This window comes from Homo sapiens, chromosome X (genome assembly GCF_000001405.40).
Source record: "Homo sapiens chromosome X, GRCh38.p14 Primary Assembly".
NCBI classification, from domain to species: domain Eukaryota; kingdom Metazoa; phylum Chordata; class Mammalia; order Primates; family Hominidae; genus Homo; species Homo sapiens.
The window spans coordinates 135,519,826-135,534,658 of record NC_000023.11 but is presented as its reverse complement, the minus strand read 5'-3'; the positions used below and the strand labels follow the sequence as shown (position 1 = coordinate 135,534,658).

Sequence of the window (14,833 nt, the reverse complement as noted above, 5' to 3'; positions counted from 1 at the left end):
ATTCAGTTTTATAAAAGTTACTTCCCCAAGGGCTTTTCTTAGTGTCTTGAACTTGCCGAAATGTGCAAAGCCCATTTTATTTGATTAAATCGGTTCTCTCCCTGAGAACTCTGAATGCTATCATTCTGTTTCGATCTACCAATTTTCCTCCACATGCTTCAGGAGATACTACCAACCAAGACTACATGTATGAAATCTAGTTTACTTGCGTCTTCTACTTTTTAACAAAGATATTAAGAAATTGACCTCCCCCGATATATTGCAGAAATGTATTTAACAGTCTGTGGCCTGCTGCACTGATCTTCAGCAGACAGTTAAAGACTCACATGATCACATATTTTAACGAAACTGGGCAAAGAAATGATTCACAGTTTGATTCCACTGACACATAGTTCACCATTTTGTTTTACTGACCTCTTTAAATTAATATCTAGTATGAAGTTTTTTAAGCATATAAACAATCATAAGGATCTAGAAAATTTTAAAAATATGTTTATGAAGTTTTCAATTATTACCCCAGGGAATTAGGATAAAATTGTGAAGCAGCACACTTCTCAAAGTTTACTGGAAAACATGATAATATCCAAAGAAATCTGACCTTCACCAGTGGACAGTAACACGTAGAAACCAATAATTTTAGAAGCTTTTCTCCTCCCTCCAAAAGTCAATTGCACTGCTACTGAAGCAGAAACATCTTAGAACTTACTAAACTTGGTCATACTTAAATGTGAAAAGTTTCCTTTCCCAGTCTCAGACTATTTCAACTGCAGCTATCAACTAATACCTATTATCAGGAAAAAAAACTGCTATTGTGCATATCACACATTCAGTTAGTTACATTTTGGCTCATTTATGGACAGATACACAAAATAATAAAAATTTTTGGCCTTGGAAAAAACATACATGGACAGGAGTGAGACTAAGCCACCTAAGCATTGCAGAAAGTGTTGAACATATGAGATAGCAGAATGGCCATTTATTACGTTCTGAAGATTACACAGCACCTCTTTCCCCAGGACTAATTCTTTTAGGAAAAATTCTTCCATGAGAACACATGGGCACATGGGGGGAACCACACACACTGGGTGGGGCCTGTGAATGGGGGTGGGGGAAGGGAGAGCATCAGGAAGAATAGCTAATGGATGCTGGGCTTAACACATAGGTAATGGGATGATCTATGCAGCAAACCACCATGGCACATGTTAACAAACCTGCACATTTTGCACATGTACACTAGAACTTAAAATAAAAGTTAATGAAAATAAATAATTTCAAAAAAATTGTTATGAGCTACTTTTTACGTGGTAAAAGTAACATGCATTCATTGTTAAAAATCCCAACAAAATACAAAGTTAGTCTGTCTGTTCACCAAACCCTCACTCTCACTCTTCCAAAGTATTGATAGGACTCTGTCATGAACGTTATTAAATTGTTTACAGCAAACAGAATTGACATCAATAAGATGGAGTGGCATTTACCAATGTAACCACTAAGTGTGTGATATAGCACATTAAACACATCCAGGACCTGTTTTCTAAAATTTAAAAGTTGTTTTTTTGTTTTTGTTTTTGTTTTTGTTTTTGAGACAGGATCTCACTTTGTGGCACAGGCTGGACTGCAGTGGTGTGAACATAGCTAACTTCAGTCTTGTAATCCTGGGCTCAAGTGATCTTCCCACCTCAGCCTCCTGAGAAGCTGGGACTGCAGGCATGTGCCACTATGCCAGGCTAATTTTTTTTTAATTATTTTTTGTAGAGACAAGGTCTTGCCGTGTTTCCTAGGCTGTCTCAAACTCCTGGGCTCAAGTGGTCCTCCCACCTCAGCCTCCCAAAGTGCTGGGATTACAGGTGTGAGCCACCATGTCCAGCCTAAAGTAATTTTTAAGTCACCCTGAATTCCAAGCCTCAATTATTCCACTTTCTGCCTTTCAGTTATACAACTCTCTCCTGTACTTTTTCGGAAGGAGTCCTGGAAATAATCTAGTCTAATCCCTTCATTTAACAGATGAGGAAACTGACACCATAAAAGGTTAAGTGACTTGCCTGGGGTCATGTGTGTAATTAGTAACAGACTCAGGTTAAGAACATGGATCTCTTGCCTTCCAGTCCAGCACTTTTGACAGAGCTACTGAAGTGACAATGATACAGTTTGCCATATTACATGACAGTAGATGGTATGATCTACTAGACTGGATGTACTATGTCCACTTTTTAAAATCTGATTTTATAAAAGTACCTAGCTATAGCCTAAATCTACTTCTAACACACAACTCAAAGGCATCACTATGAAAGGGAGTTTACAATGTTTACGCACCTACGTAAGCTATTAAGAAAAGTGGAGAGCTTTGCTCTGCATATCGCCAACATCCTCCTTCAAGAAATAAAACAGGAGGGGGTCTCCACTTTCCAATGCCATGGCTATATTAAAGGCTAGATATTCTCCCTGGAATCCTATTGTCCACTGTCTAGTTATGTGGGCTGTCTTTGGCAGAGACAAAAATTCAAAGAGGGACTGGCCCTTCTGATTAAACAGCAGTGCCTCCAGGCAACTTCAGGCCAATTTAAATGAAACCATTTTGGTCTAGAGTTCAGACTAATCAAACACGAAAGGTCATACTCCAGCTCCCACCCTCCTTCCTTCTGCAACTTCTCATCATTATAATAGTATTTTAAAGCATGTTCTGTCATGTCCTCACCCTCAAGTCACACCCTTAATGGAATGATTTCAGTTTACTTCCTCTCCTCCCCCAGGCCTTCAGCTCTCCTGGCTCTGTATCTCTTCTTCCTTTGGTTAACTGATGTTCTAAGGGCTGGCATCAGGAATGGGGAGATACACTCAGAGGGTAGAAGAGACAGTGCAGGGCTTCTGTGGGAAATGATGGGAAATAAGTTTTTACCGACACGTGGAACAGATACTAGAGAGCTCAGAATGGCAGGCTGGTGGGGAGGGTGATATGATAAAACCAACTTTTTTCGAAAGTTAGCAATTGATGTAAGTGGAGACAGGAATTTTGGAGGCACTTGGGAGTCCAGTTAGAAGGCTGGTACAGTGGTCAAAGCATAAAAACATGAGGACCTAGATTAAAGTGATGGCAACAGAAATTGAGTCAAAGGAACACATGTAAGAGAAATTTCAAAGGGATGGCAGATAAGCCAGAGAAGATGGAAGGCAAAAAGAAAAAACAAAGCTGAATAATGACAGAAGAGGTCTGACTGTGAGCTGACAGCAGGACAGACAGTCAGTGGAGATGTGTGGAGATGTCCTGCACTCAGCTGAGATGCCTGAGTGAGAAGCTGAAGATGGTGAAGCATCAGTGTGTGTCGGAATATTTGGAACCACGAATGAAGCAGGATACACTCCCCAAGGGAAAGACTTTGGAAGATAGAGAAAGAATTATCAGAGAGAGGAGTGGAGAAACAGAATATAGGAAGTGATAAGTTTCTGGAAGGAAGAAGTAGTTAGTTTCAAATGTAGTCAAGGACAAAGAGGATGAATATTAGTAACTTTGCCCAAGTAGCTCGACAGTAAATCTTAAGACCTTAATAAATCATATTTAGTTTTCTTAACAGTACTATTTTTCAGTTGCACAAACAAAAATGTTTCAAGACTTTTGTTCAATTGCATTCAAATCCTGTGTTTGGCTCCTGGTACTAAGTTCACTGAACTATTTGAGCTACAGGGCAGGATATAGATAATAAAAGAGCGACTGGCATTAATGAGTAGTATAACCAGGGGAAAATGGTTTAAGATATAGAATTCTACTTTTTCTATAAACATCTGGCACATCACCCAAAAGTCTTCATGCAATGTTTCTCTGGTTAAGACCCCACTGACTGACATCTCTACTTCTTCTATAAAATCCACTCTTCTACCCCAGGCCATCTAACTACACAGGAGGGGAAAAAACCAATGATCTGGCTATGACAGGTGTGTGGCTTGAGGAAAATGGGAGAAGTAGTTGAAATGAAGACCACACCAGCAGATAAGGCTCAGGCTGATACACAAAACTCTGCAAAGGCATGATGGTATTCCAGACGTTTTTAAAAACCATGTCTACCTCCTCCAGAGGCTGTGGATTAGAAAAAACAAATGGCTACTGTGGAGTACACTGAATATCTTTCTTTTCCTCATAAGAAAAGCATTTATCAGGAGATTGGTAAAGTGAAGACGGCATATCAGTTTTTAGTGGCTATTATTAATAAATAGCCAAGGACTACCCTGCTGCTTTTACAAACCTACCACTATTCCTATAGGGCCTCCTCAGCCTAGGCCACCAGTTCACATCCTCCAGTCCTCAACTATTTCATACTCCATCAACTGAGAGTCTCAACAACTCTATATCTGTCACCAGTAGGGGCATAACTGTGGGACATCAAAGGCAAAAGTGTTTTACAAACATATGCACCACAATACTCACCCAGCAACAGTCAGAGAAATATTAGAAATAATAACACTAGCAGTAATAATTTTCATTCATTGAGTGCTTGCTACAATGCCAAGCACTATTACATTAAAAGCAGCTATAAATAACAGCATGATAATTATGTTTAAAAAATGATGGCTCTAGGACATGCATCATAATGAGAAAATACCAGTGAGAAGTTATCAAAAGGAATTTTCTGTCACAATTGATAGGAGAAGTGAAGTGGTTAATCACTGAATAGACTAGAATAGAGACAGACCTAGGTTACTACTGGCTGTGTTACTTAACCTCTCTGGGCCCTGGTTCCCTTATCTATAAAAAGAGTATAATAATAGTACCTAGTAATCCAGTACACAGACTGACTAGGAAGAGAAACTAAATAAACATTTTACATTCATTAGCACATTGCCCTGTACCTAAGCATTACTCAATAAATGTCAGCTGCTATTATTTGAAGGCTATTTCGTGATTGTTCATTATTACAAGGAAGCAAATATAAGTCAAATCATATCTGAAATACAGGGATAGTTATACAAGCTAGATAACACCTTCGACTATAAGATGGGATTTAGGAGGATCCAAAATTAGGGCTATAAAGTGGTCCTACCTCTTATAGATGCTATTCATCAGCATATCTATAAATCCACCCAGCCTCAGAATTAGACATTGGTGCTTATTCCTTAAATGGGAGCCATTATAGTTACCAAAAAATAACAATTAATCACTCCTGTAACCTCCACTAGGAGGATTAAGTTTTGAGAAAGTTAACGACTGTCAGAAGTAAGAATCCTAGGAGCCCTCCAGTCATGTGGCCTCTCCCTCCTTTTAACGCCACTGATGACTTGCCATGATATAAGACAAGGGCTCCGCTGGGGAACATCAAGAAAGCTCTCAAAAACAGCAGTGATACAAATTCCCCTTTGTTAAGTTTTACACTATGACAAACTAGAGTATTTCTCCTTTATCCTACACTTCCTAAAGAATGCTGCTCCTGAGAATTCTTGGGCAAAGTAGCTATGTAAATCAAACAACGGACATGTTACATATTTCTAATAACACTGAAAGTATGAAACATTTAGCACTACTGGTGAGCACATATTATAAACAGAATTCTGAATTACTGCAGTTACATTCATTCACATACATATTCCATTATACTTAGCCCAGGAAAAGACTTCTAACCCAACCAGTTGGATCACCAACTGCATCCAAAAGACTAAGCAACCAAACTGGCTTTCAATACAAATAAGAATGGGATGCTTTCATATTTTGCCCCACAGGCAAGGGTTATCAAGCCATCAACTCTGAACTGTATGATAACCTTTCATGCACAAATGAGTCTTTTATTGCGGTGGGTCGGGGGGGGGGGTGTTCATTTTAAACGGAACTTCCAGAGAAAGGATCCTCCTTCAGAAACAATTCCTAGGATATGAACATCATAAAATATCTTAAGAAAGAATATAGACAAACACTGCTAATAGAAATATAGTGCAAATTTCACATATGGAATTTCAAATTTTCAACTCACCACATTGAAAAAGTAAAAAGAAACAAGTTAGATTAATAATTTACTTAATATATCCAAAATATTATATTTTACACTGTCTGTTGAAGCACCCACTGACAGACTAGCCACCTTTCAAGTGCTCAATAACCATACGTGGCTAAGTGGACGCTATGCTGAACCGTGTAAATGTAGCCAATCTATGAATAGGAGTAACTGGCATATGTGAAGAGCCCCGCCTACCTCCACTGCCACCTCAGCCCCTCACCCTCTCTGCCGGAGCCTTTACAGTGTCCCCACCCCTCATGGAACCAAAGTCCACACCCAGTTGTGAGGAAGAAGAGAGAAAGAATATGTTTTTAACAAATCAAGCTGGAAACTTAAACCCATTTCCCATTAGAAACAATTATAAACACAATAGGTCTATGGCTAAGTGACATGAAGGGTTAAAAAGGTTCCTGGGAGGAAGGTCTGGGAACATAATCACCACTTCCAACATTGTATCCAGGAGATAATGTGTTCCAAGCTCCCAATACACAGTTACAAAGGGACTGCCTGGGTCTCTCATTTACACTCTTTCGGTAAAAGGCAACCGGGAGGAGGCCATGTTTACAAAGACTTTTTCATTTAAGAACTTAAATGAAACATGTAGTTTCCTTTCTTCACTGCCCTTCTCACTCCCATAAGGAGGGTCCTTCAATCCTACCCTTCTCTAGAAAACACATTTCTTCCTGAGATGTGGAACCACTATCATATTTTTTCACTCTGTGAAACTGAGAACCCTGTGTTCTAAATTATAATTATCTTCCCAAAGCAAAGGCAAACTGAAAAGAAAAAATATCTGCCCTTTCCTTACCTGTGCCCTGCCCTTCACCATCTCCCTACCCCCACCCCAATCCCAACCATAAGGCCAAAAGCTCTCAAGCAGCAAGCAACAAAACTAGGCAATTTCAACTACAACTTATGGGTCTCCCTAGCCTTTTATTCTCCCCTCCCTTTAGCTCACTTAAAAGGTAATTATAACCAAACAAGCATATAGACAACAAGCTTTGTCCTATTTCTCTTCAATTCTACCTAAGAGCTCTGCATCCCAGAAGAAATGTACAAAATCTAGCTTACAAGTTTCAAAGCCTTTCTGTGGTCCAGTCTTAACTAGTTATAGTCTTGAGACACACCAGATTCTCAGAGTCCTGTGCATCCTCCTCCCTCACCTCCAATTCTCTGGTTAAGAGTCCACTGCTCTTTACATTTCCCATATCCTAAGCCACCTTCTCTAGTCAGCTTTTTCCAGTGACTATCCTCAAGACCTTTAATGACTAGGACCATGTCTTTTACTATTCTGGTCCCTTCTTAGGCCAGATCTTTCTGGTTTCACCTTAGGCCCCTATAACAGAGCCTGGTGCAGAGGAGATGTTCAAGAAGTATATGGTAAATGAATGCCGAGACTGCCGTAGTGTCAACCCACTGTTACACTTGTCTTTTGGAAACACCATTTTGATCATGTCACTACAATGGTGATAAAAGTCAGAACGGTAATTACATGCAGGGGAGAGATGGATTGCAGAAAGATGCAAGAGGCATTTTCCTGGTTGATGGAAACGTTATATATCTTGGCCTGGGATGGTGGTTACATGAATGTATAAATATAAAAATGCATCAAGTCATTAGGATTCATGTATTTTCTATATATGAATTATACTTCTATAAAAAAGAAAAAAGAGAAATATATACACTTATCTTGTAAAAAATACAATAAGATTCTACCATATTATAAACTTGAACCTATATGAAAATGCTAGCTGTAATAAACATTAAATATATCAAATTGTTAATAGTGATTACTCTATGGGGAAGAGTACCGGGAATGAGGTAAGCTTTGACATGAGGGAAATGAGTAGCTTTGACACTTAACATATTGCTTGAAACCTTTTTTCCATTTGTTGAGTACATATTAAAATCTAAACACCCCCTTAGGTACTAGGGATACAAATACCTAGAAGTTCAAATATTTGCCCTTCAAGAGCTCACATTAGGGAAGTCAACATGAACACTAATAGTCCCCATATAACATGCTAAATGCTATATAGTTAAGGTGTGGACAACATGTTAAAGGATCACAGAGGAAGTTGTTATACTGCTTGGAGTAGGGAAAAAGCCGACGGACAAAATGACTTTTGAAAACATAGAATAAAGAACTGAGGTATGTCTGGCCAACCAATGTGTCCCAGGCAGAGGGAATAACATTTACAATGGCACAGAAGCAACTGGCATAGTGTGTTTGGAGAGGAGGACCTAATTTTTCATTGTGGGTGAAGCCTGAGGTCCATGAGAAGAGAAGAGAGGGCGCAGAGACATGGTAAGATAGGGCCAGATCATGAACGGCCATGGAGGCCAGGCCAAGAAATTTACTTTTATTGGGAAATGTAATGGAGTGCCACTGAAGGATTTTTTTTTCATAGGGGAATGACTTTATTTTATTTAAAGAATGACCAATCTGAGGGCAATGACGGGAAGGAATCAGTGGAGAGCAAGACTGGAAGTAGGGAGAACAACTGAGTGGCTGCTTGCAAGTGAGAAATGATGAAGGTTGAAACGAGGAGCAAATAAGAATGAATGGATACGAGAGAGGTTGGGGATACAGAACAGACAGACCTCCACAGTTTTGTCAGGCATCTTCCCTAGTCATCTTACAGCTGGTCCTTAGTCTGAAGATTGTATTGCCCAGAGGTCTAGTCTTCTACTGTTGACTCTCTCCTTTTCTTATTTCAAAATAATTATTGCTGCATGCCACAAATGGCCAGTAAAGGAAGGTGGATAAGAAAGCAAGATCATGGGAGAGGCAATTCGTTGTAAAAGTCAATGCACTGCCTGTGTGGCTTTTTGAGTTTTAAAAGCATCTTTCATTGTCTAAGATTGCTCTCACAGGCCATGTTGCTACTATTTCACTGATAAGCTCTTCCATAGCTTCTTAACCACAATGAAAGGCTCCCATAAAAGTCACTCCTTTTGCAAATAAGATCTATAAAATATATTCATGGGCATATGAAAAAGTTATGTCTTAGTTAAAATTCTAAAAAATGCCTGTAACACATATCATTTTAAAAGCTTAAATTACTTCCTAAATCTGTAAGCCAAAATTTTGCTATTTTCTGATACATGTTGTCAAAGGCATGCAGACACCAGTAAGCAAAGCTAGCTACAGGATGGGAAAAGGCAACACTCAGGGAAAATTTTACTTTTTCAAATGTATGTCTTCAAATTACAGACTTAGGATATTTCTTTGAAACATTATCATTTCCTATTTATAAAAATCTTCTGGCCAGTATTTTATACATGTGTTTCAACTATTTCTAGAAAAGTAACTCCATTTTATGTTTAAAAAGATAATTTCCTTCAACAAAAAAGAAATAATTTTAAGTAGCTTCCAACATAAAACTATTTTGAATACCTTTGTTAATATATACCCTACTCTAATGGCTTACTTTCTTTCAAAGTAATAGTAGTGACAAGCCTGCCTCTTCTATTCACTAAATAAAAGGAAATTATGATTCATAGCAAAACAAAACATACAAGACAGCAGAACCTCAGCCAAGACTAAAAACAACAATTATACCAAAAAATCCCAAAACATTAACACTTTTAAAAACCACATACTAGTTTTATAAGGATACATTAGACGTTTTTAAATGTTAAACAGGGTTTCATACTAGCTGTGTACACTGAAGATACCACGGTATAAAGGTGGGGTCAACACTTGTAACACTATGCATAAAACTTGTCTAGAAAGCAACATAACAGATGTAGCACATGATGCTTACATTTCGTACGCTTTTTATGTGGTACTTAAGTCAAACTTAATTCTATCCATGCAAACCGGGACTGCAAGTAAAAGGTATGACTAATTTTAAAAGAGCACACAGCTATATAGTGAGGAGTATGCAGTAAAACGTTCCGAAGTCTTTGGTGAAATACTATAGTCACATATTCAACAGTATACATTAGTGAAAATTTTCAGTCACAGTAACTTTTCACAAGATTTATTGTCGGATCTTGTAAGTGGATATACTGGGAAGAGTTGCATGCCTATTAAGAAAAAAATCTTCCAACCAAATGCACAACTCATGTCTGTTATAACACCAATAGAAACAAACCTTCAAGTAGAAAATAAAGTTCATTTTACAGTGTTTAGACTTGGATACAACCAAGACCTAAGAAATAAGCAGTTACTGTGAAAAAAGAGAAACAATGGCGCTCAAACCTTAGAGAAATAAAAAAAAAAAACACTCATATTCTGCAAAAGTATAAGCTACCAATAAAATCCTAGCCAACATCACTTTGCTGAAAAGACCTCAGACTCCTAATGAGAGTGAAGTTTTTAAGTAGGAACTAAGGTGCCCGCTGACAATCAAAGAAAGACCTATTTGATAATCAGTGTGACAGAAAACAGACATTTATGGCTCCCAGCTATTAGCAAGTGAAAGACTAGACTAAATTTTAAGAAAAAAAAATCACCAGATGTTCTAAAATTTCAGACCTTCCAAGCTGGTTAGATCCTAAAAGCAAAAGAACAAATAGTTACCACATGCTGAGGAGGGTTGGAGGCAGGCTGGCAGGAGAGTGATTGAAGAGAGACTCGGAAAAAGAAAATGCTACCAAAATATGGCATATTATTAATTCAGGTATAGAAAGCAAAATGACAAGAACATCATTAAGATCATTAACCTTTTTCTAGAACATGTAGTTATCACCTAAGAGTAAAATGAAAAACTTTGGAAAGATAGGCTAAGAAGAAGATAACCAACGATTAATAATTAAACATATTACAAAAAGTATCTTCCCATATATCTGACCTACATAAGGAAAAAAAATCAAACTCAACTTGGAAACGTGCTTTTTGCTTTAGGAAAAAAATGTAGTATATAAGATGGCAGGATAAAAAGAGCTATCTGATGAAATTTCCACTAAAAACAAAATCCAACTTTTCCTGTCCGTTCTATAGAACTATCTGGAGCCTTTAAAATAGCATGGATAAATTACACAGCCATTAAAAATTTTAAGTATGAAGGCTATGTGGCGACCTGGAATAATTCATTGGATAAAAATCGGTAGAAAAAGCAGAATACAAAGTAATATGTGCACTGTAATCACAATGCTAGGTTAAAAGATGTAATGATGGTTGTTAAGAATGAGGTTTATTTCCTTTCCCAAGTTTCTGTAAATACTGTTTTGATAAGTTTTACAGATGGAAAACTATCTTTAAACAATCCTTCTTGGCATATGGAAAAATGATAAATAGGTTGTTCCTTTTTTTTTTTTTTTTTTTTTTTTTGACGACAGAGTTTCACTTTCTTGCCCAGGCTGGAGTGCAGTGGCATGGTCTTGGCTCACTGCAACCTCCGACTCCCGGGTTCAAGCAATTCTCACGCCTCAGCCTCCCGCGTAGCTGGGATTACAGGCGCCCGCCACCACATCCGGCCGTTTTTTTTTTTGTTTTGTTTTTTTGTATTTTAGTAAAGACGGGGTTTCACCATGTTGCCCAGGCTGGTCTCAAACTCCTGAGCTCAGGCAATCCGCCCATCTCGACCTCCCAAAGTGCTAGGATTACAGGCCTGAGCCACCGCACCCGGCCAATAAGTTGTTCCTTTAAGGAAAAGAAGGCACACTGCTTTGTGGTTTATCTTTTTTACTACTTCGAATTAAGGAGCATGTCTTCAAATGGCCACACTACAAATGGTCGGTTCTTATCTGTATTAGCAGTCGAAGAGTGTAGACATTCAGACCTAGGATGTATAAACATCTCCTTTTCTATGTGGAAAAAAATGATCACATCCTTTTGGGAAAACTGACATTTTTAAAAAGCTTACGGCATTTTGAAAGATGTCTACTTGTTCCACTTTTCTAAATGGATAGAATCACAAACTGAAAACAAATTATCGAAAAAAGAACAGTTTTAAGGGGAACCTACTAATTAAACAGTTAACCGAAGCTACGAGTTACAAAATTAGTTTCTCTTTGGTTTCCTTATGCTTGAAGGAACACTCTTTGGCCAACTATTCAGCTTGGTAGGTTCCATTCATTAAAACACCTCACTCTACAGAAACGGATCACAACACATCCAGACTGCGTCTCCCTAGCACTATTACGATTATTCTGAGGAAAAAAGAAAAAGCCTAACAAAAGACGTCAAGGATTGTGGTAGTATTTTTAAAATTTCAATATGCAAGCAGGACTCTTATGCAGGTTGATTTAACAGTTTAAATTCCATTTTATCTGGCCACTGCAGGCAAAGCAGCAGTTCTTTATCTCCTCACCATAGGAACATAAATTACCCCACAGAGACCGTCCTCCCTACTTTTCTCCTGTAGGTCAGAATCAAATCATCGAACTTGACTATTACAAATGCTCACATTTGAGTCCTCCCCTTCCTTTCTTTCTTGTCCCTGGATTAATTCCTACGTGGCTAGCACAAACCTAATTTATGATGTAAATAGGTAGAGCGGATCCCTAAAAAGCTCTGCCCCTGTGGGTTCGCACTTGGCACGTCCCCCTCCGTGTCGTTGCTTCGCTGGAATTTCCAATGAAACAGTAACAGTAGCTAAGGTAACTGAGAGCGGGGCTGAACCTGGCCAATTCCGGAGCAGAAACGCAAAGACTTTCTCCGGGTCTGGGGGTGGGGAGACTGGCGTCGCGGACAGATTTCCGATTGCGCGGGGGTGGTGAGAGGCCAACGAGTGCAAAGGCGGTTGTCTAGTCTTTGAAGGCCGGCGGCTGGCTCTGCCACGCTCTCAGCAGGAAGGGGAGGGGACCAGGAGGAAGAGGGGGAGAAGGAGGAGATGCAGCGAAGAGCCCAAGGAGGGGGAGGAAGACCGGGGGAGGAAGGAGGGGCCAGAGGAGGAGCCCAGGCTCCGGGAAAGCCCGCGCGCCCGGCCGGCAGGACCTCGGGGCGGAGTCGCAGGCTCCGTCCGGCCCCCCGCGCGGCGACCCTCGCGCGGTGCGCCTCGAAGGGGCGGGCCCGCCTCGCAGCCTCCCTCCGGGTTTCGGGCCCTCCTTCCCCGCTCCTCCCTCCCCTCCCTCCTTTCCATCTCAGCAGCGCCCTCAGTCTCCCTCTCGCAGGCTCATACAAAAGCAAAATGTCCGCCATGTTCCGAGGCGGCTGCGGTTGTCGCGCCACGAGCTCGGCCCTCCTGCGGTTTCTCCCCGGGGCTGCTCCTCCCCGGTCCCCTCTCCCCGACCCCAGGCGCGACAGCTACTCCGAAGCCGCCGACGGCACCACTCCGCCCGCCCTCTGCGCACCCCCTCGCCGCCCGCCCCGCCGGGCGACGCAGGACCGCCTTAGGCGGGGGCAGGGGGGTAAGCAGCCCCCGCCGACTTGCTCCCGCTTCCCGCCTGTCCCCCCACCCGTAGCCCCTTTACCTTGATGCAGTACGGGGGTTCGTCGTAGGTGACCAGCATGTACCTGTCTCCACGGCTGGCCGGGTCCCGGGCGCGCAGCTGCGGGGCAAGGGATGACGGAGGGGGTCGCGTAGGAAAGGAGGGGGGAGGGCGATACAAACGTTACAGAAGCACCTCAATCCACACCCTGAAATCCCTCGGGAGCTCTCCCCATCTCTCCCCTCCCCTCCCTTTACCTTCAAGAATAACTCCACAGCGCCTTTGGCAATGTCCAAATAAGAGGTGCCCAGGTCAGTGCGCTGGTTCATAGAGGCGGACGTGTCTATGAGGAACAGCAGGATGGGCATCTTCCCCCGCACTCCTGCCTCCGCTCCCCACTCTCCCGGCCCTCTTGCCCTCACTGCCGCGTACGGCCACCTGAACCCTCAACTCTCGCAGAGCCGGGGAGCAAGGAGCAAGAGGAAGAGGGGGAGACGGGACGGGACGGGACGGATGGGACCGCTCCTGGCCTCCTCTTTCTGCAGCCCCACCTCCTCTCCCTCCAAGGGAACTTGAAAGTGTGAGCGTGTGTAGCCCTCGGGGCCCTCCCCCTTCCTCTCTTCTGCTGCCACCACTACTGCCGCTGCCAGGACTACTGCCTAAGCATCCGTCCGCGCTCACTAGAGCGCTCGCCCCAGACTGAGCGCCGTCTCTGTTCACTGACAACTTCTGTCTGCTCACCTACCATCGGCACCATGTGACCAGAACCCATGCCATTGGCTGCCAATTATGTGGTATTTGCATATTCATTAGATGACAGGACTAGGGGAGGGACTTGGGCGAACCCTGGGAGTTGAAGTTTGAACCCAGGCAGAGGGTAAGGGGAAGTGTTACGGACCCTCGCTAGGATTCTCCTTTAAAGGACTTGGAAGCAGTTCGAATGATTAGTTCGGGTGGTTTAAATGGATTTTTCTGTCTCTCTTCAAAGATGGTGATTCGAAAAGAAGAGTGAATTTGAGCAACAGTTGTACAGAAGTACAGAAGCAGATGCTTGGACAGTTTGCACAGAAAATTCTTCGCTAACTGCAATCGATCAATCCTGCCAGTGGCGAAGACGAAAATATTTCAGAAGCAGCAAACTTCTTTCCTGGCAGGACGTACTCACATTCCTTTAGATCCCTCCCCCGTCTTGATCAGTATTTGTGAGTTGGTTGCTGGCCTTGCATTCCACATATATCTACTTAGAAAGGAAACTAAAGCTTAAACACAGTTACAGTTACCTAAACTGGCCTTTTGTATGCACAAGCTTCTTCAGTTTCACTAAGCTCTTTGAAACATTGGCCTGCCTGTGATAATTCCACCACTGTTCCCTCTGCGCAGCCTTTACACATGGAGGTTTGCAAACCTAGATTGTGATTCAACTCACATATTTATTTATTTATTTATTTTTATAAATAAATAAAGAGGATCTCGCTTGATCGCCCAGGCTGGAGTGCAGTGGCCCCATCATAGCTGCCTGCAGCGTCCAGCTCCTG

The 14,833-nt window shown here is 41.5% G+C and overlaps 1 protein-coding gene and 1 long non-coding RNA gene across 26 annotated transcripts in view, besides 4 other annotated features; one reads left to right on the top strand and one right to left on the bottom strand.

Annotated features, from left to right (window-relative positions):
- Positions 1–13,999, bottom strand: part of INTS6L (integrator complex subunit 6 like) — a 61,851-nt gene extending 47,852 nt beyond the window's left edge. For 19 of the 25 annotated variants that reach the window (NR_147256.3, XR_007068183.1, XR_001755668.2 and 16 more), the window contains exons 1-2: positions 13,556–13,999; positions 13,341–13,418 (exon numbers count right to left, since the gene is read on the bottom strand). Coding sequence is in view for 14 of the 25 variants with exons in the window: in NM_001351601.3 (NP_001338530.1) it covers positions 13,341–13,418; positions 13,556–13,666 (189 nt within the window). In the remaining 11 variants the exon portion in view is untranslated. Of the gene's footprint in view, positions 1–12,549; positions 12,770–13,340; positions 13,419–13,555 lie in introns of those variants that run through there. The other 6 variants (XM_047441907.1, XM_047441905.1, XM_047441909.1 and 3 more) reach the window with 5 other exon arrangements.
- Positions 12,896–13,095: a silencer, noted in NCBI's record as "silent region_21023". NCBI's record gives its function as "represses an Ori minimal core promoter by ATAC-STARR-seq in GM12878 lymphoblastoid cells {active_cell/tissue: GM12878}" and the evidence as "EXISTENCE:reporter gene assay evidence [ECO:0000049][PMID:35858748]".
- Positions 13,156–13,425: a silencer, noted in NCBI's record as "silent region_21022". NCBI's record gives its function as "represses an Ori minimal core promoter by ATAC-STARR-seq in GM12878 lymphoblastoid cells {active_cell/tissue: GM12878}" and the evidence as "EXISTENCE:reporter gene assay evidence [ECO:0000049][PMID:35858748]".
- Positions 13,676–13,735: an enhancer, noted in NCBI's record as "active region_29983". NCBI's record gives its function as "activates an Ori minimal core promoter by ATAC-STARR-seq in GM12878 lymphoblastoid cells {active_cell/tissue: GM12878}" and the evidence as "EXISTENCE:reporter gene assay evidence [ECO:0000049][PMID:35858748]".
- Positions 13,766–13,845: an enhancer, noted in NCBI's record as "active region_29982". NCBI's record gives its function as "activates an Ori minimal core promoter by ATAC-STARR-seq in GM12878 lymphoblastoid cells {active_cell/tissue: GM12878}" and the evidence as "EXISTENCE:reporter gene assay evidence [ECO:0000049][PMID:35858748]".
- On the top strand, positions 13,985–14,576 carry INTS6L-AS1 (INTS6L antisense RNA 1). The gene is made up of 2 exons (NR_046740.1): positions 13,985–14,092; positions 14,287–14,576. It is a non-coding gene; the product is annotated as an INTS6L antisense RNA 1 (long non-coding RNA).